Source organism: Homo sapiens, chromosome 1 (assembly GCF_000001405.40).
Source record: "Homo sapiens chromosome 1, GRCh38.p14 Primary Assembly".
NCBI lineage: Eukaryota > Metazoa > Chordata > Mammalia > Primates > Hominidae > Homo > Homo sapiens.
Window position 1 is genome coordinate 35,917,997 of NC_000001.11, and position 27,092 is coordinate 35,945,088.

At 42.1% G+C, this 27,092-nt stretch overlaps 2 protein-coding genes across 9 annotated transcripts in view, besides 6 other annotated features; both read left to right on the plus strand.

Moving 5' to 3' along the window:
• AGO1 (argonaute RISC component 1) overlaps positions 1-12,536 on the plus strand; it is a 60,772-nt gene extending 48,236 nt beyond the window's left edge. For all 4 annotated transcript variants that reach the window (NM_001317123.2, XM_011541236.3, NM_012199.5 and 1 more), the window contains exons 17-19: positions 326-427; positions 1,059-1,258; positions 1,503-12,536. In NM_001317123.2, the coding sequence (NP_001304052.1) occupies positions 326-427; positions 1,059-1,258; positions 1,503-1,611 (411 nt within the window). In that variant the 3' untranslated portion in view covers positions 1,612-12,536. The remainder of the gene's footprint in view (positions 1-325; positions 428-1,058; positions 1,259-1,502) is intronic.
• AGO3 (argonaute RISC catalytic component 3) overlaps positions 12,722-27,092 on the plus strand; it is a 141,783-nt gene continuing 127,412 nt past the window's right edge. For 2 of the 5 annotated variants that reach the window (NM_024852.4, NM_177422.3), the window contains exon 1: positions 13,109-13,449. In NM_024852.4, coding sequence (NP_079128.2) covers positions 13,431-13,449 — 19 coding nt within the window. In that variant the 5' untranslated portion in view covers positions 13,109-13,430. Of the gene's footprint in view, positions 12,819-13,108; positions 14,864-27,092 lie in introns of those variants that run through there. The other 3 variants (XM_017000523.3, XM_005270575.5, XM_011540879.4) reach the window with 3 other exon arrangements.
• Positions 12,725-13,248: an enhancer, noted in NCBI's record as "H3K27ac hESC enhancer chr1:36396322-36396845 (GRCh37/hg19 assembly coordinates)". NCBI's record gives its function as "activates a minimal SCP1, AML or CMV promoter by ChIP-STARR-seq in primed H9 embryonic stem cells {active_cell/tissue: H9 hESC(primed)}" and the evidence as "EXISTENCE:reporter gene assay evidence [ECO:0000049][PMID:30033119]".
• Positions 12,725-13,261: a biological region, named in NCBI's record as "H3K27ac hESC enhancer GRCh37_chr1:36396322-36396845".
• Positions 12,752-13,261: a silencer, noted in NCBI's record as "silent region_650". NCBI's record gives its function as "represses an Ori minimal core promoter by ATAC-STARR-seq in GM12878 lymphoblastoid cells {active_cell/tissue: GM12878}" and the evidence as "EXISTENCE:reporter gene assay evidence [ECO:0000049][PMID:35858748]".
• Positions 13,249-13,773: an enhancer, noted in NCBI's record as "H3K27ac hESC enhancer chr1:36396846-36397370 (GRCh37/hg19 assembly coordinates)". NCBI's record gives its function as "activates a minimal SCP1, AML or CMV promoter by ChIP-STARR-seq in primed H9 embryonic stem cells {active_cell/tissue: H9 hESC(primed)}" and the evidence as "EXISTENCE:reporter gene assay evidence [ECO:0000049][PMID:30033119]".
• Positions 13,272-13,611: a silencer, noted in NCBI's record as "silent region_651". NCBI's record gives its function as "represses an Ori minimal core promoter by ATAC-STARR-seq in GM12878 lymphoblastoid cells {active_cell/tissue: GM12878}" and the evidence as "EXISTENCE:reporter gene assay evidence [ECO:0000049][PMID:35858748]".
• Positions 13,774-14,296: an enhancer, noted in NCBI's record as "H3K27ac hESC enhancer chr1:36397371-36397893 (GRCh37/hg19 assembly coordinates)". NCBI's record gives its function as "activates a minimal SCP1, AML or CMV promoter by ChIP-STARR-seq in primed H9 embryonic stem cells {active_cell/tissue: H9 hESC(primed)}" and the evidence as "EXISTENCE:reporter gene assay evidence [ECO:0000049][PMID:30033119]".

A 27,092-nucleotide genomic window follows, 5' to 3' on the forward strand; every position in this document is an offset into this window, starting at 1 on the left:
GAACTACCATTTATTGAACTCCTCCTATGTGCCAGATACTGTACAAGGCGTCTTCCTCACAGCAACCCTGTGAGGTACGTATTATTATTATCTCCAATTTAACCTCAGAAAGGTTAAACGACTTGCTAAGATCACACAGCTAATAGGACTTGAACACAGGTCTGTGTGACTTTAGAAGCATATTATTTTAAGATTCAGTACCCTCAGGGAATAGCAACTTTGGCTTTGTTCTTGGGATTTTGGTGAAATCAGAGTAGAATTGAGCCAGGGTCCTGGTTAGGGCCAGGCAGGTCTTGGGATCTTGGTTGTGTTTGTCTCTATACAGATTGGGAAGAGTGGTAACATCCCAGCTGGGACCACAGTGGACACCAACATCACCCACCCATTTGAGTTTGACTTCTATCTGTGCAGCCACGCAGGCATCCAGGTAGCTGGGCTTTATCTTGTGGTTCCAATGGGTCAAAGATGAGTTGTTCATTCATATTGCCTCTAGAATGTATCAGTCATCACTGAATGACATCCAAATTAGGATTGCTCTCTTTTCTGTTTGTTCTGTTTTGTTTTGTTTTGAGGCGGAGTCTCACTCTGTCCCCCAGGCTGGAGTGCAGTGGCACAATTTCAGCTAACTGCAACCTCCACCTTCTGGGTTTAAGCAGTCTTCCTGCCTTCCCGCCTCAGCCTCCCAAGTAGCTGGGATTACAAGCATGCGCCACCATGCCCAGCTAATTTTTGTATTTTTAGTAGAGACAGGGTTTCACCATTTTGGCCCTGCTGTTCTTGAACTCCTGACCTCAAGTGATCCACCCACCTTGGCCTCCCAAAGTGCTGGGATTACAGGCATGAGCCACTGTGCCCGGCCAGGACTGCTGTCGTAATAAGCCCTGAGTACACTTGCAGGTTGCTTATAAGAAGAGTGCTTTATGACATTGGTAGTTTTGCATCTGCCTGTTCATGGGTGAATTATCTACCCAGCCATATTCTTAACAGTGATCCTGTTCCCCTATTATCAGCCATCTTCTCTGCCCAGCCTGGGACCCCTCACCTTCCTATCTTCCCAGGGCACCAGCCGACCATCCCATTACTATGTTCTTTGGGATGACAACCGTTTCACAGCAGATGAGCTCCAGATCCTGACGTACCAGCTGTGCCACACTTACGTACGATGCACACGCTCTGTCTCTATCCCAGCACCTGCCTACTATGCCCGCCTGGTGGCTTTCCGGGCACGATACCACCTGGTGGACAAGGAGCATGACAGGTGAGGCCTGGGATCAGGTTGGCCTCCTTTTTGCTTCAGCCTATTGTGCCAGATCTTCTTAACTTTCCTTGGGTAGAAGGAAATGAGTGCTGTCCAATTTGGTGTCATTGGGCTCGTCTGCCCAATCCTGGGTTGGGTTTCTCTCTTAAGTTGGTATGGGAATTGGCATCCCAGGGCTGGGCGAGGGAATTAGCAGCAGCTCTCAGTTCACCAGGAAGGACTTCTTTCATTTTTTCCTTTTCAGTGGAGAGGGGAGCCACATATCGGGGCAGAGCAATGGGCGGGACCCCCAGGCCCTGGCCAAAGCCGTGCAGGTTCACCAGGATACTCTGCGCACCATGTACTTCGCTTGAAGGCAGAACGCTGTTACCTCACTGGATAGAAGAAAGCTTTCCAAGCCCCAGGAGCTGTGCCACCCAAATCCAGAGGAAGCAAGGAGGAGGGAGGTGGGGTAGGGAGGAGTGTAGGATGCCTTGTTTCCTTCTATAGAGGTGGTGTAAGAGTGGGGAACAGGGCCAGCAAGACAGACCACCAGCCAGAAATCTCTGATATCAACCTCATGTCCCCCACCCCTCACCCCATCTTGTCACATCTGGCCCTGACCCCACTGGACCAAAAGGGGCAGCACTGGTGCCCACCATACACACAGGTGTCTCATGTGACTCACAGTGCTAAAGACTCATGCTTGACAGCTTGGTAAGGTCAACTCTGTAGCCCTGCAGACAAAAGCTGGTTAGGTTTGGGTTTGATACTTTAGATGGGAAAGTGAGGGGCTTGAGAAAGTGGGTGGGAGGAGGGAAGGATTTTTTAGGAGCCTTAATCAGAAAAGGACTAGATTTGTTTAAGAAGAAAAATGAAACCAGACCCAGATCAATATTTTAGGATACTAGATGTTTTAATGGGTTCAGAATCCAGTTTGTAGGAAGATTTTTTAATGGTTTTGGTTGCTCCTCCCCCAGCTGCCACCCCCCACCTTACCCTTATTCCTCTCTGTCCACATTTTCTGCCCCACCTTACTTCTCCTCCCTGACAGACATCCAGCCCCTAGTAATACTTAAGGCACTATGGCACTTAGCTTTGAAGTGACACGACCCTGTCTTCCTTCCGCCCGCTGGTGGGTAACCAGTGCCTTCCCTGTAACGGTAATGCTGCAGAACTGCAACCTTTTGTACCTTTCTTTGGGGAATGGGGTGGGGGTGGGAGAGGAGGTAGATGGGGAAGAAATACCCCAGACCCAACAAACCTCCAGCCAGAAAGCCAGCTATTTTGCATTTGAAGGAATTGACTTCCTCATTCATTGAGCTTTTTAAAAGATCACAACCTCAAGATGGTTAAAATCCATTGACATTTGCACTTTCAAACATGACAAGTCTCGGAGCTGCTGAGATGACAGGCCCCTGGCCTTTCCACTTATGCCTCCTTTTCTCCTTATTCCTCCTACCTCCCGCCCCGCCCAGGTCTGGAGTTACTTTCATAGCATTTTTCACTCTTGGCTTCTTTTCTCCCTTGATGGTCAAGTCTCTTATGTTTCAATATTTCTTAACTGGGGTGTCTTATAACAAAAAACTCTTAGGTCTAAAATGAGAAAAAAGAGAGAAAACAAAATGTTATTTTTATACCATAACTTGAGTGTATTGCCAAAATTTGGAAATCCTTCCCATGCCTGATGAGTTTATATCCCAGAAACATTGAGCCATCAGAATGAACTGTGTACCTGATTTGTTCTCTGACCTGGCTAGGTAGGGAGGGGGTGGTTATCGCCCCAAGATGGGGTCCAGGCTCCATCCTTCCTCTGTGCAGATAATACCTTTTTCTTGCTATAGCCTCCCTCCTCTGCACTGTCCTGCACTCTTTCTTGCAAGTGCATCTTTTTCCTTCCCCTGGACTGTCCTCTGACCCTTTGGCTCATCCTAGATTGCAGTGTGTCCTGTGGACAGGCTGGGGAATTTTGCTGCTCCCTATTGCTTCTGTTTACAAAAATGAATTTTTCCTGGTTTCCCACTAGGGCATGTGGGTGGGTGGCATGGACTTTTTTTTTTTTTTTTTTTTGTCTTGAGACATGGGGTTTGGCTGTCTTGCAGGACTGGAGAAGGTGGTGGTTCTAGCTTGGTCTCTGTTGGCCTTGAAGCAAGCATCCCCCCTGCCCTTTTTCCTTGACTGTTCATTTTTTTCCTGCCCCACTGCTTGGGATGGGGAGTTGCAACTTCAGTGTGGAATTTCCTCTTTGAGGAGCCTGGGCTTGGATCTATCCTGATCTGGTGATGAAGCCATGATTACTTTAGACCTAGCCCAGGCTTGGAGGCCAGCTGGAGGAAGAAGGGTCTAAATCCTGGCCTGTAGAGTTAGAACTACCATTTCCTCCCCTTAGCTGCCCTTGTATGACCCGGATTTGCTATGCAAAACAATCTATCCCAGGTTCTGTTCTGGTTGGCTACATTGTTCAGCAACTCACAAAACGTAGCACAAACATTCATTATGGAGAAAGCATCAGGACTGTTGAGTAACTCCTCCTTTACTTTTTTCCTGCTGGCTACAGCATGGGGTGCCCTATAGGCACAAGCCCAGCTGAAGAACAGAATGGAGGGCTCTGGGAGGAGGCAGCTCACTGGAGAGCCTACATTCCTTACACAAGTGCCTAAAGAGAGTGATGCTAACACTCCATCTGCCCTGTCCATTGCCTTCATATACAGTCTACTTCGTGTTCTGTCACCCTTTGGGGAGGGGAGTTCTCCTGGGACAGTGGGCTCTGCATGTTCTCCACTTGGATACATTTTGGGGCTAGGATCAGGGCACTATTCCTGGAGGGTCCAGTCATTCACCAGCATTTGCAAATGTCCATAGGGAGCAGGTGGCAGCCTCTACTCCCAGCAACAAGTTTGTGTTCTCTCCTTTTCTCTCTTTGCCTCACTCTCTCCAGTTGGTTTTCAGCTGGGGCTTGAAATGCATTTTTAGCCCTTTGACGTGGCTTATGCCATTCAAGAAATAAAAAGCAAGAGAATCAGCTTTGGGCAATGACAAGAAATGAGTTCTTACTCTGATTTTTTTGTAAAAAGATAATTTTTGAGACTTGAAAAATACCCCGACCTTGAGATTATTCCTGTTTGAAAGGTGGTGCATGCAGATGGAGAAGTGGTGTTGGCAGCAAGCTTTGGCTCATGTGGATTTGGTTTAAGTGGTGCTTCTTACCCAAGCTTCAAGGAAGTGCTTGGGGGACCCCCAGCCTCATCCTCTTAGTTGGGTCTCTTGTTCCCTTTGTACCACTGTTTTGCCTTCCTTTTCCTCTTCTCTCTTTGCCTGGCTTCCTTTCCCTTTTCTTCTATTCACTCTGCTTGCTTGCTGGCCGGCCTGCCTGCCTGCCTGCCTGCCTGCCTGCCTGTCTGCCTATGTGATGATGAAATCTCTGCATGGCTGCAATGATCCCACTGTTAGCTGGCAGGGTCAGGCTTAGCTCCTTGACTGCAGAAGACCAAGAACCTGTTCCCCAAGCCCAGAGATGTCCACCTGGGCTGGACTGCCCTCAAGCTTATACTAGAGAAGAGCAACTGACCTGCCCAACTTGTGTGAAGTCAGGAGGGTTTCTGGCATTTTCCACACCTGTCCACTCCTTGGAGCTGGTTTCTCTCATTGCTTTTTCTAAATCTGGTTCTTTTTCTCTTTACCTGGGGCCTGGCTTTTCTGAGATTGTCTTAGGGTTGAGCTATTTGGGTATCCTGGGTTTGAGTGTTAGGGGATGGACATAAAGGAAAAAGAGTGATGAGAAGAGAATGGAGAGAATTTGAATAAAAGGTGGGAAAGGAGAGCACTGTTCTTTGATTGTTTATCCAGTCCAACCTGATCCATTAGGGATCGAGGTGCTACACTGGCCTCCAGGGATAAGCCTGGGGCTACTGTTGCTGGGAACTTAGGCTTAACATAAAGCCGAAGAAGGTACCTAGAAATTTGAAACTTCCCTAAAAAGCTCCTAATGCCCACCTGCTAGATAGCTTCTCTGTGGCCTCCTATTTAGCTAAGCAGCAGTGTTTTTGGATACTTTTTTTTTCTGTTTGTGAATAAGGCCAGCACTCAAGATGGGCAGCCAAGGGTGCACTGACTATTAGCTGGCCCATAGGATATCTGTAAGGCTGGTGGGACAGTTTTGGACCTGGAATCATGTGTAACTAACAAGGTTGGACGTTTCTTCCCCATCAGGGTAGAAAAATCATCTCAAACTAGCCAAAAGGCAGTTTTGGAAACTACATTGGGGGACGTTATTTTTATTTATATATGGGGCCTAGGCCAATCCAGGATGGTAGCTGGAATACCTTCCTTCTTAAAATCTGATCATGGCAGGGATATGCAGGGCACTTTTTACTATTTGGCCTTCTAAGCAGATTGGGAAGGAGGTATTTTCTGGTTTTCGCTTTCCTCCGACTTAATAGGACTTGCCTTCTCCCTGGGCAGGGAGAGAGGCTGGGTTGGTGCTCTCCCTTACTCTACTCATACTGACTTAGAGCCTCTGGCTGCTGTTTGGGCATCCAAGAAAGGGAGGGGAAGGAATGAGCTAAAAACAAAACAGAATGAGGTGGGAAAGGGAGATTTTCTTCTTTACAGAGGAAAATAGGAAACCCTCCAAGAATTGTGCAAGTAAAGACATTTGTTGAATGCACTGAGTCCCTTGGTGTAGTAGCAATAAGGAAAAATGAAATTACTTTCCTGTGCACACAGTCCAGCCTAATTGGTATGTGATGTTGCACTTAGCAGCCATGTGGTGGGCATGTGTGACTACTCTGGTTTTCACTTTAGTTTCTAAACTTTTTATCCCTCTCAAGTCCAGCATGGATGGGGAAATGTCTCTGGATCCCCACAGCTGTGTACTTGTTTGCATTTGTTTCCCTTTGAGATTTGTGTTTGTGTCCTGCTTTGAGCTGTACCTTGTCCAGTCCATTGTGAAATTATCCCAGCAGCTGTAATGTACAGTTCCTTCTGAAGCAAGCAACATCAGCAGCAGCAGCAGCAGCAGCACAATTCTGTGTTTTATAAAGACAACAGTGGCTTCTATTTCTAAAGTGCGGTCTTTCTCTTTTTTTTTCCTACCAGCAAAACAAACTTTTGGGACTGATTACATCTCTAATAGATTTTAGGTGAGAATAATACTGTAGATTGTTATGCAGGAATACTTCACAGAGCCTTCATTTATTCTTCATTCAACAAACATGCAAAGCACTGTGCCAGCAGTATTGTGGGGAGGGGAGGCACAATTCAAAATGAGGAAAATAGTGTCCGTCTCATTAAGGGAATTAAGTTTGGTGGGGGATATGATTAGCCAAATAGTCCCCTGGCATAGGAGGAAGATAATGAGGGAGTGGAATAAGGCTACAACAACGAATATAGGGAGGAAGGGACAGATTTGAGAGACGAGGTAGAATTAATAGGACTCGATGGCTGGTGGGAGGAGAAGACAGGAGTAGAGGTTAGCTCCCAGGTTTCTCCTTGACCATAGGAGTGTGTTGGGACATTCTGCCAGTCAAGATGGGGGTGACGGGGAGACTGTAGAAGGAAGGTGGGGAGTTTTTGAAGAAACAGAATGTTGTATAGACTGAGTTTTGAGGTGTTTGTGGGGCAGTAAGGGTAAGGTGTCCAGTAAACACAGGTTGGTGCTCAGGTAAGACTGTAAAACTGCATTTATAGATACAGGAGTCTTATAGATGGTAGTTAAAGCCATAGGCATGAATGAGATAGCTTAGAAAAAGAGAAGAGAAACTAGTATACAGCCCCCTAAGAAACTCAATTTAAAGGTTCGGGGGAGGAAGCAGATCTTAAGGTGACAGATCACTGGTAGACAGTTTGTGGGTTTTTTGTTTCTTTGTTTAGCCAGTTTGGTGAGGTAGGAGAAGAAATCAGAGTAGAAGAAGGTTCATGAAGGGAGTGATTAACAACATGAACTGCTGCAGAGAGGGAGTTCTTTTTTTTTCTGTGTGTTTTACCTTTCTACTCCCCATCTTTTGGGGATCTTGTAACTCTATGACTTACTTACGTTATTCTCCAGTATTTCTTGAAAATGAGCATTGGAAAAACCAATTCTAAAATGGCTAAAACTAGGACTTTCAAGTTCACCACAACTACCACCAATTAGGAGATAATTGTAAAAGAATAAACAAAACCTAATTTTGTTCCTAGCCAATATTATAAACCATGTTCCAGCATACTAGATAATAGTAGCATACTATATTTATTTCCATAATTTGTCTTCTTTAGAGCCTATGAACTCCTAGGAGCAGAAGCTATATTCTCTTCATTTTTGTCATCTCAGGGTCATGGCATATACCAACAGATCAGTATGTGCAAATATAATTGAAATAGGCTAGTAGTCTGTGGTTTATGAGTATGGGCTGGGTGGGCAGTGGATCAAGAAGTGATAGGAGTACACAGGATGAACTCAGAATTCCTGAATCTTCAGGTAAGCAGATACTTAACTACATTATCATTGTCTTTTCCCACTCACCCCAAGTTGGAGGTTCTATGGTTTTGTACTTTAAGCTGGTGGTATAATTGTCAAGCATGTAAATTCTGGCATTCTTCCTGGTACTGCTAGAGCATTGTTATTTCTATGCATGGGGGTAAGAAGGCTCAGAGAAGGATCCTGGCGGATACCCCAGTGAGAAATCGTCAGTGGCAGCCAGTGTGTACATACGTGGACCTAGCATTCCTCTGGAGGCCAAGTGTTGTAAATTGGCCTGTGGCTATCATCTGGCAGACTCCCTTGGGAAAGAGCCAGCCAGCCCCATGCTTCTTTTCAGCAGCAAGGGTTAGGGAGGTTGGTTGAACTTGAAGAGCAGATTGGACATGGAGCAGATTTTGACCAGTTGAAATAAGACATAAATTTATGACTCCGAGTGAGGCAGAAATAAAGAACTTAGCAGGGGGAATAGGAGGAGGATGATTATGGCAAATTTTGCTATAAACTTTAGTTTTAGAAAAGATTGATATTGAAAAGCCTTCAGGATTTGCCTGTGGTTGCTACTCAAGTTAAAAAGACTGGGAGCCTGCATTGTTTGGTCCTGGAGCTCAAGGTTTTCAGTGAAGGCTTGTCCTGGCACCTCTGGGCATTCCTTTTCATTACTGGTTGAGCATCCTTCCTTCTGCTCTGTCAATTGGCAAAATATGCTGGAGCACATTCTGGACTAGCAGTTGCCTTGGGGTAGTCAGGCTGGGTATTTGTTTGGTATCTCTTGGTGTAGCAGACCCCAGAATCTCATGGCAATTAGGATTTGGTGGCTAAACGAAAGAGTTAGTGCAAGGAAAAGCCTAGTTGGAATTTCTGAGTCTGGGCCATCCTTAAGCTGCTGTCTACTGCCTGAATGGGAAGTAATGTCGAATTGGAAAATTAGCTCACCATTTTTGTTCTAGCTTTGCAGACATTTATTCCTCTGATGATAGGCTGAGAAATGCCTAGGCCGGCTTAGAAGGCACACAGCATGACAGAAGTACTCCTTCAAAGCAGCTGTGTCAAGAAGGAAGAGCTGGAAAAGTGGATTTGCTGGGGAATTAGATGCATTTAGTTTTCCACTTACGCACAACTGCCTTCTCCAGTATATCATACCAAGGTTTTTTAGGCCTTTGTGGCTTACCCTGCAGGAACATACTGTGTCCTGTTGTTCTGGACTGTAGCATCTTCACCACCATCCTCTTGGCAATGGTTTTTTGTTTGGGGTTTTTTTTTTTTTTTTTTTGGACAAAGTATAATAATATTGAGGGACCTTTCTAGGGAGCCTTTGGTCCTTTGTCCCCATTTTCCAAAGGGAGGGAACTTTCCTCTTAAAAGAGACAGTGGGAACTTTTAGCCAGGTTTTTGGAAAAGGCCTGTGGGCTATTAATGAGAGTGAGCTGCAAAAGGAGGAAGGGTTTGTTTGGGTACTTTGAAGTACTTAGCTAGGTGTTTTCTACAGTATCTTATATAATTGCATCTTACAGCATCTTTACATGCGAAATAGTTTATCAGTTATCTTCAATTGCATATTACAAAATTCTGATTAAATTTTTCTTAAATAAGAAAACTATCATTTCATATGACAAGAAATCCTAATTTAATGTTACTCCAAGGTTGGTTAATTCAGTGGCTCAGTGATAACACCAAAGACTCAGTTTCTTGAAATTTTTTTGCTCTGCCATCCTCCATGTTTATCCTCACGCCAGTTCGCCTCATGGTCCCAATATGGCTACTGTAATTCTGGGAAGGAAATGCTGACAGAACCGTGTCTGGCAAAAGAGAGACAGATTTTTCTGTGTCCTTCTAAAGCAAGGAAGTCTTCCCCTGGAAGCTCCAACAGATACGGCCTCATGGCTTTGCTAGAAATGGGTCATCTCACTCCTGTCATTGGCAAAGCAAGTAAGATCATCCATCAGGAGTGGCTTAGATTAATGAATTATCCTTTGAGTCGTGTAGACTAGAAAGTTCAGTCATGTCTACTAGCAAGAAAGGAGATAAGGGCTGTTGGATAAGCAGCATCTGGTCTCAAAGGTACTTCAACTTTTACAGATGAGAAACATGAATCAGAGTGACTTTCCCAGGCTCACAGCAAGTAAGAGAGGGCCTTCAGTGTTAGCTGTGTCTGTCCCTAAAGCCCATGTTTTATATTGTATCTTGCTAGAGTATAAAGTAACTTACTTTCTACCTTGTAGAAACTGATGGTCTAGGAGAAGAGATTTGAACTCAGGTGCCCAGTTGACTCTAATCTTGGCCCATGTGAGAGGATTGTACTCAGTTGCTCTCCTCATCCAGTGATGTTTCTTGTCTAACACAAGAAGCCTAGGAGTAGAAAGTCCTAAGCAGAGTAGAATAATAGCGGCAGCAGGGAGGGAAGTGTGAACTGTGTGTCCCTGAGCCTGACTTACTGGGCAGGGACATGACACTTAAAGCGGCAGCTGGCCACTCTGTCTTTCCTGCATGCACTGAGTATTTGGTAGCTCATTAGTGACCAGTGATATTGATCATCTTTTCATGTGCTCACTTACTATCCCCATATCTTTGTTGTTTGCATCTTTTACCCATTGTATTTGTTGTTTTTGAGACAGTGTCTCACTCTGTCACCCAGGCTGGAGTGCAGTCTCATGATCGCGGCTCACTGCAGTTTCTGCCTCCTGGGCTCAAGCAATCCTCCCACCTCAGCCTCCTGAGTAGCTGGGCTTACAGGCGCACACCACCATGCCCAGCTAATTAAAAAAAAAATTTTTTTTGTAGCAGTTCGGTCTCATTAGTATTGCCCAGGCTGGCCTCTCTTAGCTTCAAGCTATCCTCCCGCCTCGGCCTCCCAAAGTGCTGGAATTACAGGCATAAGCCACAAGCCACTGGGCCCAGCCTCTTTTACCTGTTTCAAAATTGAGTTTTATTGAGTTGTAAGAGTTCTTTATTCATTTTAAACACAAGTCCTTTGTTGGATATATCTTTTACATCTATTTTTCCCAGTCTGTGGCTTGCCTTTTCATTTTGAAGAGCAAAAGTTTAAAATTTTGTGAATTTATTAAAGCTCCGTTTGTTGCTTTTTTCTGTTCTAGTTTATACTTTTGTATCATATTTTAGGAAATTTTGCACTGGGTATTTGATGGCTCCTGAGGAGGTTCAACTTTCAGAGCGCACTGATTTCTCTGCACCTGAGATTTTGTACTATTTCTGTATTTCTTTCTTCTCAGAACAACCAGTGTCACCAGGTATGAGGGCAGAGTTTTAGCTTGTTTGCTGAGCCCCATTCTTGAAGCTCATTTATTTATTCACCTATCTGTCCATCAATCCAACAAATATACTGAATGCTGCTATGTGCCAGGTACTGGCACTGTTCTAGGTACTGGGGCAATGACAGTTAAGATAATACCCAATGACCCTGCTCTGTACCCTTAAGAGCAGACTCAGTTGGGAATGAGTTATCCAAATATAGGGTGTACATGTAGTCAGGAGAGAGCCTCATACAGCTTTGCCTTTGGCAGAATCCTTCAAACCTCTTTGTCTTCCTACTTCTTGATATTACAAATCATGAGCCTTTCACATGCATTGACTCTAAAGAGGTGGGTTCCTGGATAGCAGAAGTAGATAGGAAGGCATCATTGACATTTACTGAGATGGATTGAATCAGAGGGTGTAAATTCTGCTCCATCAATGTTGAAAAAGACTAGCCCACCCCAAAGGTTTATCACTGTCACCATGTCTAATGTCTATTCTGGAAGAAGCTGAAGAAGTCTGCCTTTGTTTAGGGAACCGGTTCCAGAATCAGAGGGGTTGAGGATATAAAAGACCCTTGCACAAGAGTTGGTATTTACCCTGTCAGATGCTGCTACCAAGATTTGGATTGTGTACAGTCGAGGATTAAAAATGACTTTTAAGATGCAGTGTTTCATCTGGTGACATTTAATTTGATATTTTAAAATTGGGGAGGGTATTTTCAGCCATGGGGGTAGGGATGTGAAAGAAGAAGAAAGTAAGAATTGGAGTCAGATGTGGTTTTGAGTCCCATACATTTATTGTTTAATATTATATGGTAAGTACTTTAAAATGGTAAATAGTAAATACTTGTGTTATTCACTAACATTTGGGGAGGATTTTCTCTGTGCTTTATGTATATTACCTAACCTTACAAACTGTGTAAGGTACATGCTGTTCTCTCAATTTTTCAGATAAGAAAATTGAAGCCCAGAGAGATCAAGTGACTGATCCAAAGTCCCACAGTGAGGGGAACTGAAGATAGGATATTCTTTCTCCTTTTCCTCTTTAAAAAATTATTTTGATTAAAAAAAACCGTATTACTGAAGCATAGGGACATGGGGAGAAATTATGAATGATTCCTCAGCCTGAATAAAATAGTATGTTTCATTAAGGCAACAAATATTTATTAAGGACCTAATATTTGCCTGACATTCAAGTGAGGTGGGGGGCACACAAGTAGTAAATAAATAACAGACTGGGCAAAGGGCTACCAAGGCAATACTGTAGTAGACTAACAGGTGCCCCACCATAGATGGGTGGTCCGGAAAAGGCGTCTCAGATGTCTTTCGTTGAGACGCAAAAAAAAGCTGTGGGGTAGGGCGTAAGGGGAGGGTGGAGAAGAGAGAGAGGGTTCCTGGCCAAGGGAACCAAAAGCAGAGAAGCTCCAAGTCAGAAAAAAGCAGCGGTTGGCCCGTTGGGAGAATTGGAAGCCAACCAGTATAGCTGTAGCACAGGCGGGGCCCATTTACGCCGTGCGTTTTCACCCTGGAAAGGAGTTTGGGTTTTCAAGTGTGACGAGGCGCTATTAAAGAGTTTTAAACATGGAAATTACTCGATCTGATGTTTGTGTAGTGTCCTGTTTGTTAGTCATCTTTTCCAAACTATAATACATTTTTTTTTTCCTAAAAATGGTCGTTAAAGCAGCCTAGGACTTAGGTCAATTGCGGTGGTCACTTGACCGCCTGTGAGGAGGCGGCGCGTGGGGTGGATCGGACTGGGCGTGGCGGGGGCTCAGGAAGGAGGGTGGCCCTACCCCAGCGGGCTCGGCTCGGGGCCTCCGCGGCAGTTCGGGGTCCTTCACCCGCCGGCTCCAGGTAGGCTACTCCTCAGGTAAGCCCCGCCGCCAGCCGCGACGTCGTCGCAGACAGGCACCGCCCCCACTCGTGCGGCGCGAGTAGTCCTGCCCCTCCGCGTTGTCTCCGGCCGGCACGGCCCGGCGGGGTACGGCCGAGCCCGCCGCATGTGGCCCGGCTCCCGGACACCTCCCCGGCGTCCTCCGCGCCGGCCGCTCCTGCCCCGACGTCGCTCCGGCACGGCTCGGGGCCCAGAGGCGAGGCGAGGACGCCGGGCAAGCCAGGCAGCGGAACTGACGCCGGCGAGCTTCCGGGGCGGCCCCGGGCAGGTCGGCGGCGGCGGCCCGCAGTCGTGGAGGAGCGGTGGGAGCGTCGGCGGCCGCGGGCGATGCAACTTCCGGACGGGACTCCCCTCTGTCCGCGCCTCACATCTCCCCTTCCTCTCGCCTAGTCCTGTGCCGTTTTCCGTCCGCGACTCTTCCGGCCCAGAGCTTTCGGAGTGCGGTTGCTCAGGGGAAGCCGTCGCCGCCCCCGCCTCGGGGCCGAGTGAGAGTGCCCGTCGCGTCGCGCCGCGTCGCCCCCCGGGCCGCCTCCTTGCCGCCAGTGGCGGGCTCCGTTCTCCCTCGAAGCACTCCCCCCAGCTCCATGAATGGAAATCGGCTCCGCAGGTGAGTCAGAGTAGCTGGGCCAGGTAGGGGATGTCACCCAGCTACTGTCCTCTGAGCATCCCTGCTCCTCCCGCCCGGCCCAGGTGCGCGAGGTGAGCGTCGGGCGGGCATCGCTCGGTCTCCCGCCCCTCGCCCTGCTCCTCCGCGACCTCCCCGCAGCCCAGCCCCAGTTCCCCGGGGGCCCCTGAGTCGGCGAAACTGCGAGGCGGGGAAACGCTTGGAGGATTTAAGTTTGGGGTTATCTAGGCGGCATTACTCTTTGCTGGAGTACCCTTCTTCTAGACTTTAGAATGGTTTGCCATTGTCTAGTTGGAGTGCGTGTCCTTTAGCCAGGTTGTGTGTTCCGTAGAGGCTGGGCAGCCAGCCAGCTCCCTTACCTACCTCTTAGGATAGTTGTGAAGATAGGCTGAGATAACGGATAACTTCAGATTAAGTTCGAAGGAGGTGTTGGTGCAACGTTAAATTCAACATGGCATTGCTCCTACCCTCGAGTTCTTTTCTGTTGTTTGTGGCAGCATGGTAGATAGTTTCTGAGGAGCTTGGAAATGTCATAGCAGCCTGGATCCCTGCTTATACGAGGAGGTGGTTCTTAAAATTGCTGACAGTATATTTTTTTTCATTCTCTATTCCTTAGAGAAGTAGTTGTCATATTCCTGGAAATTTGGAATTTAAGAAAACTGCTTTATCTCTGGGGGCAAGAGCAGCAGTTTTGCAGTCTTAAGAGAAAATTGCAACATGGATAGTACTTGTCCTTAAAAAAGGAAAAGTATTGTTTATGGTTCTAAAGTAATTAATTCAGGGACAGAAAGGTGTTGCATAACGGTTTGCCTAACAAATGATCATGCTTGGCTTATTAAATTTGAAAGTATGCTTCAGACGATCACAAGTTCGTAAATTAATTTTCAAAATATTTGCGGGGCTGTCTTGTTACTAATGGTGTTACAAGTTCCTGAATTCCATATCTCTTTTTGCCAATTTGATATAAGAAAAACTTACGTAAAAGAAACCAGTGACATAACGATAGCTAAGAACTTTGTTGAATAGATTACGTGTCAAATGGTTGCAAAAAAGCACTCAAACTGGGGAGATGAGATGGGGAGAGAGTTACAAATTTTTTTTTTTTTTTTTTACAAATTTTGTTACATGGAAGTTTCTCTAATCAATTTAGACCATATCTCTTTTTCCTGCTCCATTGTTTCGCTTTCCCCCATATCGTCTTAAAAGGTCTGTCTGGATTGTGAAAAGATTTCGACTCTTATTCAGTTTTGATTTGTGTATTTCTGAAACTGTCCTGCCCTTTTAAAAAAATTACCATACTACTGTTTTACTGTACAGGAGATGTGATTATTTGGGACCATAGGTGATCTTTGTACATAACTGTCCTGTTGTCAAGTCTGGAAAACAAGTCATGAAGGTCAGACCCTTTATTAATCATCCCAAAACTTTTAAAGATATTTCAAAAAAGTTTTTAAAGTTTTTTCTTTTTCTCCTTAGGGTTTTTCATATGATATTGTGCCCATATATATGGGAAATGTCTTAGAAAACATTTGTTACATCAAACCACCTAGTCAACTGGTACAACTAAGCCAAGTACAGCTCAGAAAATACATTTTACCTCTTCTTTTTTGGGTGTCCCATTGCTGAAATGGATACCCATTTAGCTGTCTTCACATTTGGGGAAGTGTGTAGTTAGATTATCAACTATATGCCTGGGTCTCTTGAAAAGTAAAGTTTTTTCTTCAGTACAGTTTATACATGATTGAATGTAGCCTAATAATGAAGATAAGCTATACTTTGGCTCAAGATTGTCATCAGAAACAAAATTTTCATTATTCCTGAGACTTGTATATAATTGGTATGCTTAGCTTTAAGTTGAAAGCATAGCTGTGCAACTAAATTTTAAATCCATAATTTAGGCTGGGTGTGGTGGTTCATGCCTGTAATCTCAGCACTTTGGGAGGCTGAGGAAGGATGATCGCTTGAGCCCAGCAGTTGGAGACCAGCCTAGGTAACATAGTGAGACCTGCCTCTACAAAAAACAGAAAACTTAGCCGAGAATTGTGGCACATGTCTCCAGTCCTAGCTACTTGGGAGGCTGAGGCAGGAGAATGGATTGAGCCCAGAAGGCAGAGATTGCAGTGAGCTATGATCGCGCCACTAACTCCAGCCTGGGTGACGGAGCAAGACCCTGTCTCAAAAAAAAAAAAAAAAAAAAAAAAAAAAAAAATCATCATTTGACACGTATTTTGATTTTAAAATTTTAGTATAAATGTTCTCAAAAAGTCTATTGACTCAGTATTGAATCTTGGCTTTCCAATTCTGCCATAAGTTTTTCTTTTTTGTGGAGATTCTCAGGAATCATCTTGTGATAGGATATTTTAAATTCTAGTTGCTCGGTGGATACACAGAAAACTGTTAAATTTGTTTACATTAGGGAACCTCGAACACAAATACCATATAAGTTAGTATTTGTTCTTTCATATGAAATATTTTAAATGCTTTTTAAGGATATCTTGTGCAATCTACTGATTTAGTACCATCAGAACTTTGATTTAACAAAAAAAAAGGTGAAATTAGTTAAAAATTAATCAACAGTTTAACATCTGTGTCTGTGACTCTTTAGTTGGGGAACATCTGATGAAACACCGTTTTTTATGGTCTAATTACTGCTGAACTAAGAGTATAGGTTATGTTTCAGTTCTAAATAAAGTGGGAATAGGGAGCTGCAGAAATGCTTGATGATGTTACTTCTCCTGAGTACTCATTTTTTAGGTCCATACTATTCTAGTCTATGTTTTCAGGTAATGTTAGACTACCGTTTAGGACAGAGGAACTACACTTTATAATGGAAGAAAAACATTTACTTTTACCTTAAATTAATGACATGCAAATTGTTTGATGTTTGGTGGAAGTTTTATACAGTCTTGCAAAAGTGAATAGACTGTTTCTTTCTTATTTACACTTTTAAATTCATGTCTGAAAATAGTTGTTTTAGAGTTCTGTGTTTATTTAATAATAAAAGTTTTAGAAAAGTTATTTGGAACCAAGTTCCAAAGGAATAAAAGTTGCATATATGGGAAGCTAGAACTAAATCAAGATTGGGATTTGAATGATGTAGATAAAAATTATGGGTCAAAAATACCTACTAAAATATGTAATGCCATCAGGGTCCCAATTTAGTATTTAAAACAATCTTCTTTTTATTTATTTATTTTTTTTGAGATGGAGTCTTGCTTGCTCTGTCGCCTAGGCTGGAGTGCAGTGGCATGATATTGGCTCACTGCAGCCTCTGCCTCCTGGGTTCAAGTGATTCTCTTGTCTCAGCCTCCCGAGTAGATGGGATTACAGGCGCGCACCACCATGCCTGGCTAATTTTTTGTATTTTTAGTAGAGACGGGGTTTCACCATGTTGGCCAGGCTGGTCTTGAACTCCTGACCTCAGGTGATCTGCCTGCCTCGGCCTCCCAGAAAACAATCTTCTTTAATAACTTTGAGAAATGTTTTTGTCGTTATATAAATTTTCTCACTTGTAGTTCTTTGCCTTGAAGAAAAAAAATCAAATTACTGCTCTGTCTGTGGGCATGAATTTTGAAAGTGATAAAGGTTTTTCTACTGGGTTGTCACTTAAATTTTGGCTTATGCTGCCCTGGAGTGACCATTATGACTTAAAAAAAATATATTTATTGCACTTGACTGGCAGTGGGACTTATAAAAATGTGCAAGATTGTTTTGATATTTGGTTTAGAATTTCTCTTTCAATGAAGGGACTCCGAGGGAAAACAAAAATTGAGACATAAAATAAATTTTTCCTTCTAAAAAAAGACTTAAGGGAAAAGACATATAGATAACCTTCAAATATAATTCAGTTAACATGAAGACATTTACAAAATTACCCATGATTCTATCAGCCTCATATAACCGTTCTTTACATTTTTAAACCAAATTCTAAACTAATCTGTTTAGTTTTTTAAAACTTAAGGAATTAAGTTATTTAGGAAAGCCATTAGAATGAATGAAAAGATATCTACATGCTACTTCATTTTGCTTTTTTGGAGAATTGTATGTAATAAGTTGGTAATTTAGAATTAATTTGTATTAGTTTATATCTTCCAATGGGAACATTGCGTTTTTTAGTTACTGCCTGGCCTGACAGTATGCAAAGAGGCCTGGGGCCCTGTAAAGGGGACATTTCCTGGAAGAATTCTCTGTTGTATATGGAAAAACCCTGGCTCAGAGTAGATTTCTTGCCAAATTGTCTAAGCTGATGGATTCTAGTTGAATACCATTTTGCTTTATAATATAGCCATCTAGTTTCACATCGGTTTCTATATTCTTAAAATACTTGAGGATCTACCTGAAAGGTGAATTAAAATATTATTAATCTAACAAAACATATTATCTTATAGTACTTAAAACTAGAATCTTAAAAAGTAATTTATAAGTTTTTGTTGTTGCTAATGGGTAGGGGAAAAAAGACCAAAGTGATAATTCTGTTTTCAGGAAGGTAAAACTAAAAAGATAATTTATTTAAGATCAGTATCCTTTCCAGACCTGTTTAGTCTCAGACTGTTGAGATGAACAGCATTTACCAGACATTCCTACCTTCTAATTCAGTTGTCTTGGATACTGAATAGACCCTCATTCTTGGCTCATTAACAAAACAGATGTGAGAAAGAATATTGTGTGGTTTTTCAGCCATAATGGTTATGCTGTTAGGATACATGAACAGCCTTTCTGTATTTGGAGTTTCTGTGGTTTTCTGCCATTATCTGTGTTAATATTAATGACTTTCTTTGGCTAGCCACTGCTTAAAAAAAAAAAACCAACTATTGAGATTCAGCAAAACCTTGTCACACAACTGATGCTTTCTCTTATACATTAAAATGTGGGCATTTTGTGGTTTGGTTATAATAAAAAAAAGTGTGCATTAGTCTGAAATGTCAGTTTAAGGAAATGAAGAATTCCTTGTTTTTTGTTTGTTTGTTTGTTTGAGACAGAGTTTTGCTCTCGTCGCCCAGGCTAGAGTGCAATGGTGTGATCTTGGCTCAGTATTTTTAGTAGAGATGGGATTTCACCATGTTGGCCAGGCTGGTCTTGAACTCCTGACCTCAGGTAGTCCACTCACCTCGGCCTCCCAGAGTGCTGGGATTACAGGCATGAGCCACTGCACCTGCCCTAGAATTCCTTGTTTTACATCAGCCAGTTATTTTATACATCATTTCCAAATTGTCAAGTTCTTGGGAAATCAGAACGTGGTATCTACAGTCTATTGATGTGAGACATTTTTAGATTAAAAAAATATTTTTTGTAGAGACGGGATCTTACTATGTTGCACAGGCTGGTCTTGAATTCCTAGGCTCAAATGATCCTCCTGCCTCAGCCTCCCAAAATGCTGGGATTGCAGGAGTGAGCCACCATGCCCACCCATATTTTTAGGTTTTTCATTTGTAGAAGAAATTTTACAAGAATGTGTTCTCAATTGTAAGCTTACATAATACTACTTTTGAGTCATTACTAATACTTGGTATTTTAACTGATTTCTGAATCTTCTAACAATATGAGAGAGACATAGTATTTCTGTGAACTTTAAAAATGATGAAAGAATAGATTGCAAAATGGGCTCTTACTAATAACAAGGGAAATGTCCCCTTTTATTTTCAAGGGAGGAAATGCCTTTTAAAAATTGTTTCTCACTCCTGTAATCTCAGTGCTTTGGGAGGCCGAGGCAGGTGGATCAGCTGAGGTCAGGAGTTCGAGACTAGCCTGACCAAAATGGTGAAACCTCGTCTCTACTAAAAATACAAAAAATTAGCCGGGCATAGTGGCGGGTGCCTGTAATACCCGCTACTCGGGAGGCTGAGGCAGGAGAATCCTTTGAACATGGGAGGTGGACATTGCAGTGAGTTGAGGTCACGGCATTGCACTCCAGCCTGGGCAACTCAAAAAAAAAAAAAAATTGTTTCCCAGCCGGATGTGGTGGCTCCCACCTGTAATCCCAGCACTTTAGGAGGCTGAAGCAGGCAGATCATGAGGTTAGGAGTTCAAGACCAGCCTAACCAACATGGTGAAACCCCATCTCTATTAAAAATACAAAAATTAGCTGGGCATGGTGGCGTACACCTGTAATTCAGCCACTTGGGAAGCTGAGACAAGAGAATTGCTTGAACCTGGGAGGCGGAGGTTGCAGTGAGCCAAGATCGTGCCACTGCCCTCCAGCCTGGACCACAGTGCGAGATTCTGCTCAAAAAAAGAAATAAATTGTTTCCCATACTGCCACCTGATAAGCTTAACCCTCAACTGGCTGGATGTTCTATAAGTGATTATTTAATTGTAATGAGCCTAATAATAAGTGCGGTATGTTTGGACAGATTCATTGAATGAAAAAGTGGAATTAGCAGGTAGGAGGTTCCTGAAGTTCCATGCTGTTTACTACGTAGCTTTGCAGACTTAACATGTATAAAATCAGAGACATTTCATTAAGTCAGATTTTGAGATCAACACAATATATTTCTTTTTCCAAAACAAAAATGTATTCTTTTTTTTTTTTTTTTTTGAGACGGAGTCTTGCTCTGTCGCCCAGGCTGGAGTGCAATGGCATGATCTCGGCTCACTGCAACCTCCGCCTCCTGGGCTCAAGCAATTATCCTGCCTCAGTCTCCCTAGTAGCTGGGATTACAGGTGCCCGCCACCACGTCCAGCTAATTTTTGTATTTTTAGTGGAGATGGGGTTTCACCATGTTAGTCAGGCTGGTCTTGAACCAGACCTGACCTCAGGTGATCCACCCTTCTTGGCCTACTGAAGTGCTGGGATTACAGGTATGAGCCACTGTGCCCGGCCCAAAAATGCATTCTTTTTCCAATTATAAAATAATAACTACATGTTTATTACTTTAAAAAACAAACGATATAAGAATGTCTCAAATAGAAGATGAAAGTATGATCCTATCCTCCAGATGAAACCATTGTTAACTCTTTCTTGTATATCTTCCCAGACATCCATCCGTCTGTCCATATATTTATCATACGAATTGTTTCTAACCTTCTTTTTCCACTTAGTAATGTGTCGTAAGTATCTTTCCCATATCATTACTTACATCTATATAATAGTATAATAATTTATACTGAGTACATAGCATTTAATTTTATCTGTATATTGATCAGTCTCATTGATAGTGGTTTAGATTTTTTCCAGTTTTTTGTTATTATGACTAAAACTTTGTAAGTATTCTAGTACATATGTGTTTGTATACTGGTCCAGTGCTTGCTTTTGGATAAATTGTTAGAAGTAGAATTATTGAAACAGTATTCCATGAATATTAAAGAAAATGTTTCCAGTGAAAATCTATAAGTTAGTAATTGGCTATAGTATATGTTATAGTTGATTTTGATTTATTCACTGCTTGTTTTTTTTCATCAGTCACATTTGCTGTAGGCTATTGTTTAGCTTTAGACTTTCCAACTGGTACACATTGGATTACTAGATGAGTGAACAACATGGACACATGTATGCTTTGGAAATGTATGGTTTTATGTTTGAAATTTAGTTTGGTTAGTTATTATCCAGTACATACAATAACTGCTGAAAGAAAAGTTTGATATAGGGAGAAAGTCCAGATAGTGCTTTGTATTTCTGTGTAGTTATATTTCCAACTCTAGTGGGCAGTATGTATTTGTTAAATAACTAAAATATGCTTCATTGGAAGTATAATTCATTGTATTGACAGAATTGTTTCATCTGCTAATTTACATTATTATGTAATGTAAATATTTCATAATATTCTGGATATTATGAAAATATCCAGAATATTTTCTGGATACTAAACTTGATTAGTATCTATAGAATTCTGTTCATTGCTTATTCATGCAACAGAATTTTGCTTTGTGCCAAATTATTTAAAAAGCACCAGGTAAAGTAATGACCATGGAGAAAAAAATTGACAGTATGATATAGTGTAAAAAACATGGGTTTTAGAGACAGATTCTGGCTCTTAAATTAACTGAAATTTATTAATGATGTGTCGGTATAGGTTTGAGTGCAAATGTTCTCCTCTTGTAGAGGATGTTGATAGTAGGGTGTCTGTGTGTATGTCAGGGCAGGAGGCCTGGGACATATGGGAAATCTCTACCTTCTGTTCAATTTTGCTGTGAACCTAAAACTTCCCTAAAATAGTCTATCAGAAAAAGTTAACTGCTACTTTGGGCAGTGCATTTAATCTTCCTTAACCTTAATTTTCTTATCTGTACAATGGGATAGTAAGAAGAGATGACACATGCAAAGGAAATGGCCATTTCTCTCTTTTTTATGATATTTTACTATAGAGAATTTAGGATGTATACATATAGGCAGAACTGTATAATAAACTCTATTGTACCCACCACCCAAACGCAGTCATCAACCCACGTCCAATCGCTTCTCTTCTACTTTTCCCTCTTTTATATTTTTGAAGCATATTCTAGGTATAATATGATTTTATTCATATTTAGTAGTAACTATAAAAGTTATGGACTCATGATATAGTACCATTATCACAGCAAAATAATAATCACTTATAAAAATTTCTAATCATTGTTCAAATTTTTACTTGTCTCACATATTATTTTTTAAACTGTTTGCCTTAAAAAAAAATTTTTTTTTTTTTGAGATACAGTCTCACTCTGTTGCCCAGGCTGGAGTTCAGTGGCATGATCTTGGCTGACTGCAACCTTCACCTCCCAGGTTCAAGCGATTCTCCTGCCTCAGCCTCCTGAGTAGCTGGGATTACAGGCATGCGCCATGACGCCCGGCTAATTTTTGTATTTTTAGTAGAGACGGGGTTTCACCATGTTGGCCAGGCTGGTCTTGAACTCCTGACCTCAGGTGATCCGCCCGCGTCAGCCTCCCAGAGTGCTGGGATTACAGGCATGAGCCACCACGCCCAGCCTAAAAAAAATTTTTGATTCAAAATCCAAATAAGTTCTACACATTGTGATTGATCGATATGTCTTTTAAGTGTCTTAATCGGTAAGTTTTCTCTCCTTGTTTTTCTCCTCTGCAATTTATGGGCTGTTTGTCCTTTTAGAATTTTTCACGATCTGGATTTTGCTGGTTCCATCTTTACAATTTAATTTAACATAATCCTTTGAATTTCCTGTAAACTGCTAGTGGATCCAAGGGCTTGATCAAATTCAGGCCATTCTTTTTGAACTTACTACAGTTGGGTTTTTGTCCCTAGCACTTGACTGGAATTGTTTTTATCAAGGTCAGCAAAGACTTAGCTAAACCCAATAGTTCCCAGATCTTCATTTTATTTCATCCACATCTAATGACATTTTCTTCTTGAAACACTGTTTTTCTCCATTTGGTTTTCAGGGTACCACTCTCTCCAGGTCCTCCTCCAACCTTGTTGGCTGTTACTTTTCCAGTTCCTTTGCTGTTTTCATTTCCCTAATTTCTAAATATTGGGAGTATCCTTGGGGTTAGTATTCTGTATCCATGCCACAGTCTGTCTGATCTCTAATCCAGTGGTTTTAAATAACACTTCTATGCTGAGGACACCCACATTTACACCTCCAGCCTGGACCTCTCCTCTGAACTCCACACTCATCTAACTGCTTACTATTCATCTACTTGTAGACACCTCAAATTTAGCATATCCTTAAAATCCTCTTGATTTCCCCTCCAAACTTGCTACTATCACTGAGTCTTTCCTATCTCAGTAAATGACACTTCTGTTCTTTCAGTTGTACAGACCAAAAAACCTTGAGAATGTTTCTCCTCATACCCCACATCTAGTCCATTTAACAATTCCTGTCAGGCCTACCTTCTAAATGTTTTCCACATCCACATCACTCCCCTAACTGTACTACTGTAGTTCTAGCCAACATTATCTTTCACCTAGACAGCCACATAGTCTGCTGACTGGTCTCCCTGCTTGTACCCTTATGTATAATTTTTCATACAGCAGCTGGAGTGATACTTAAAAAAAAATTTAAGTCAGATCATAACACTTTTTCACTCAGAACTCAGAGGGCTGACACTATCTAACTAACTTCAAGACTCACAATAAAGCTACTGTAATCAAGATAATGTGGTATTGGTGAAAGAAACAACTAATGGAACAGAACAGAGAGTCCAGCATGGCAGGTTACCATCCCAATTCTCCTACTTACTAGCTATAAAAATTTTAGGCAAATTATTTCAGTTTTCCTCATCTGTAAAATGATTCCTTCCTTTATAGGGTTGGTATGAAGATTAAATGAGATAATGCATGTAAAAGCACCTAGCAGGCCAGGCTTGGTGGCTCACACCTGTAATCCCAGTATTTTGGGAGGCCAAGGTGGGCAGATCAGTTGTTCTCAGGAGTTCAGGACGAGCCTGGGCAACATGGTGAAACCCTGTCTCTACCAGAAATACAAAAACTTAGCCCTGCATGGTGTAAAATAAAAGCACTTAGCACATTGCCTGAGACATAGTCAGAACTTGATAAATTTTAGAATTTGTGGATTTTCTAAGTTGATCTTGACAAGTTTCATAAGAAAGAGGCAGATCAAGTATTATTTTCATTTTTTAGATCAGGAAACAAATTCAGGGACAGTATTTGGTGACAGTCAAATGATTAGATAATTGGCAGAGCCAGTACTAAGGGCTAGTACGGAATTTGTACAGTATTACTTATCTCAGGCTAGGATAGGAAAGATTATGCCCTCTGAAGAGATTTTTAAAAAAACACAAAGCGGAATTTAAAAACAAATGATTCAGGCAGCATTTTAGTCTCTTTTCATCTACACTGAATAAAAGTTATTGTTAGCCCAATTTTTTATTCCTGATACAAACTCATTCTTTTGATATATTGTTGGATTTAATTTAACATTTTGTTAGGATTTTTGCATGTATATTCGTGAATTAGATTAGCTTATGATTTTCCTTTTTTATAGTGTTTTTGTCAGGTTTTAGTACCAGAATTTTTCTGGCATCATAAATTGTATTGGGGTGTGTTTACTTCTTTTCTGTTCTCTGGAAGTGTTTGTATAACATCGGTGTTATTTTTTTCCTTAAATGTTTGGTATAATTCTCTAGTGAAGCCATCTGGATCTGGAATCTTTTTGTATGTATGTGGAAGTATTTTAAATTGTGGATTTAATTTATTTGGAGGACTTTTAAGATTTTTTTAATGTAATTTTTAGTTTATTCAGATAATAGTTTATTAATTTATTGTTTGAATTTTGATTAACAAAGCTGTATTTTGAGCTTCAAAAATTTAGTGCTGGACATCACAGGTTTTCTTTAAATTTTTTTGATTAAAAAATGTAAAATATACAACCATTAAATTTACCATCTTAACCATTTTTGTGTATAGTCAGTAGTGTTCGGTACATTCACAGTGTTGTGCAGCCAATCTGCACAACTCTTTTCATTTTCTATAACTGAAACTATATCCATTTAACAAATCTGCATTTGCTCATATCTCAACTCCCGGTGACCACACGTCTACTTCCTGTTTCTTATGAAATTGACTACTCTAGGTACCTCATGTAAGTGGAATCATATAAATTATATAGTGTTTGTCATTCTGTGACTGGTTTTGTTTTTTTTTTTGAGACGGAGTCTCGCTCTGTCACCCAGGCGGGAGTGCAGTGGCATGATCTCAGCTCACTGCAGCCTCCACCTCCCAGGTTCAAGTGATTCTCCTGCCTCAGCCTCCCAAGTAGCTGGTGGCTACAGGTGCACACAACCACACCCAGGTAATTTTTTTGTATTTTTTTGGTGGAGATGATGTTTCACCATGTTGGCCAGGCTATTCTCGAACTCCTGACCTCAAATGATCCTCCCGCCTTGGCTTCCCAGAGTGTTGGGATTACAGGCGTGCCATGCCCATCTTTTTTTTTTTTTTTTTTGGGACAGAATCTCACTTAGCTGCCCAGGCTGGAGTGCAGTGGCACAATCTCGGCTCACTGCAGCTACTGTCTCCCAGGTTCAAGCAGTTCTGTCATCCCAGCCTCCCAGGTATCTGGGATTACAGGTGCCTGCCATCATGCCTGGCTAATTTTTGAATTTTAGTAGAGACAGGGTTTCACCATGTTGGCCAGGCTGGTCTTGAACTCCCAACCTCAGGTGATCCACCTGCCTTGGCCTCCCAAAGTGCTAGGATTACAGGTGTGAGCCACCACCCCCAGCCCTTTTTTTTTTTTTTTTTTAAGTAAAAGGGTCTCGCGCTATCACCCAGGCTGGAGTGCAGTGGCATGATCTCGGCTCACTGTAACCTCCACCTCCGGGGCTCAAGCGATTCTACCACCTCAGTCTTCTGAGTAGCTGGGACTACAGGTGCACACCTGGCTAATTTTTTGTGTTTTTGGTAGATACAAACGGGGTTTTACCATGTTGCCCAGGCTGGTCTTAAACTCCTGAGCCCAAGCAGTCTGCCCACCTCGGCCTCCCAAAGTGCTGGGATTACAGGTGTGAGCCACCATGCCCGGCCTGTCTTATTTCACTTAACATAATATCTTCAAAGTTAATCATGTTTTAGTGTGTGTCAGAATTTCTTTTTTAAGGCTGAATAATATTTCATTGTATGTATATACCACATTTTGTTTATTCATTCATCTATCAGTGGGTACTTAGGGTGTACAAATAACTCTTCAATCAGTTCTTTCTGCTTTCACTTCTTTTGAGTGTATACCCAGAAGTAGAATTGCTAGATCACATGGCAATTCTGTTTTTCATTTTTTGAGGAACCATCATACTGTTTTTCAAAGTGAGTGTACCATTTTATAGTTCCACCAACAGAGGACTTTTCAAATTTGATGAATAATACTTTTTTTTTTTTAAGACAGGGTCTTGCCATTTTGCCCAGGCTAGTCTCAAACTCCTAAGCTCCTAAGCCTCCTGAGTGTCTGGGATTACAGGCACAAGATGCTGTGCCTGGCTATATAGTACTTTAGTGTATCAGTAAGTTTTATTTCTCTAGGAATTTGTCTGTTTCATCAAACTGTCAAATTTATTGACACAATGTAATGTCTTCAGTAGCTGTAGTGACTTTTTTTCACTTCTGTTATTAGTTAAGCCCTTTTCCTCCTTTTTAAAAGAAATCAGTGTTGCCTAGATTTTATCAATTTTATTTACTTTTTTTTTTTTTTTTTTTTTTGGTAAGACAGAGCCTCACTCTGTTGCCCAGGCTGAAGTGCAGTGGTGCCTCAGCCTGCTAAGTAGCTGGAACTACAGGCCTGCACCACCATGCCTGGCTAATTTTTGTATTTTTTTAAATAGAGACAGGGTTTCACCATGTTGGCCAGGCTGGTCTTGAACTCCCAACCTCAGGTGATCTGCCCGCTTTGGCCTCCCAAAGTCCTGGGATTGCAGACGTGAGGCACTGCACCCAGCCCACTTATCTTTTTTTGTTTTTTTGTTACGGGGTCTCACTCTGTCACCCAGACTGGAGTGCATAATCTTGGCGCATTGCAAACTCTGCCTCACAGGCTCAAGCCATTCTCCCACCTCAGCCTCCTGTGTAGCTGGGACCACAGGTGTGCACCACCACACTCAGCTAATTTTTTGTATTTTTGGTAGAGATGGGGTTTTGCCTTGTTGCCCATGGTGGTCTCAAACTCCTGAGCTCAGGCGATCCACCTGCTTTGGCCTCCCAGAGTCCCAAAGTGCTGGGATTACA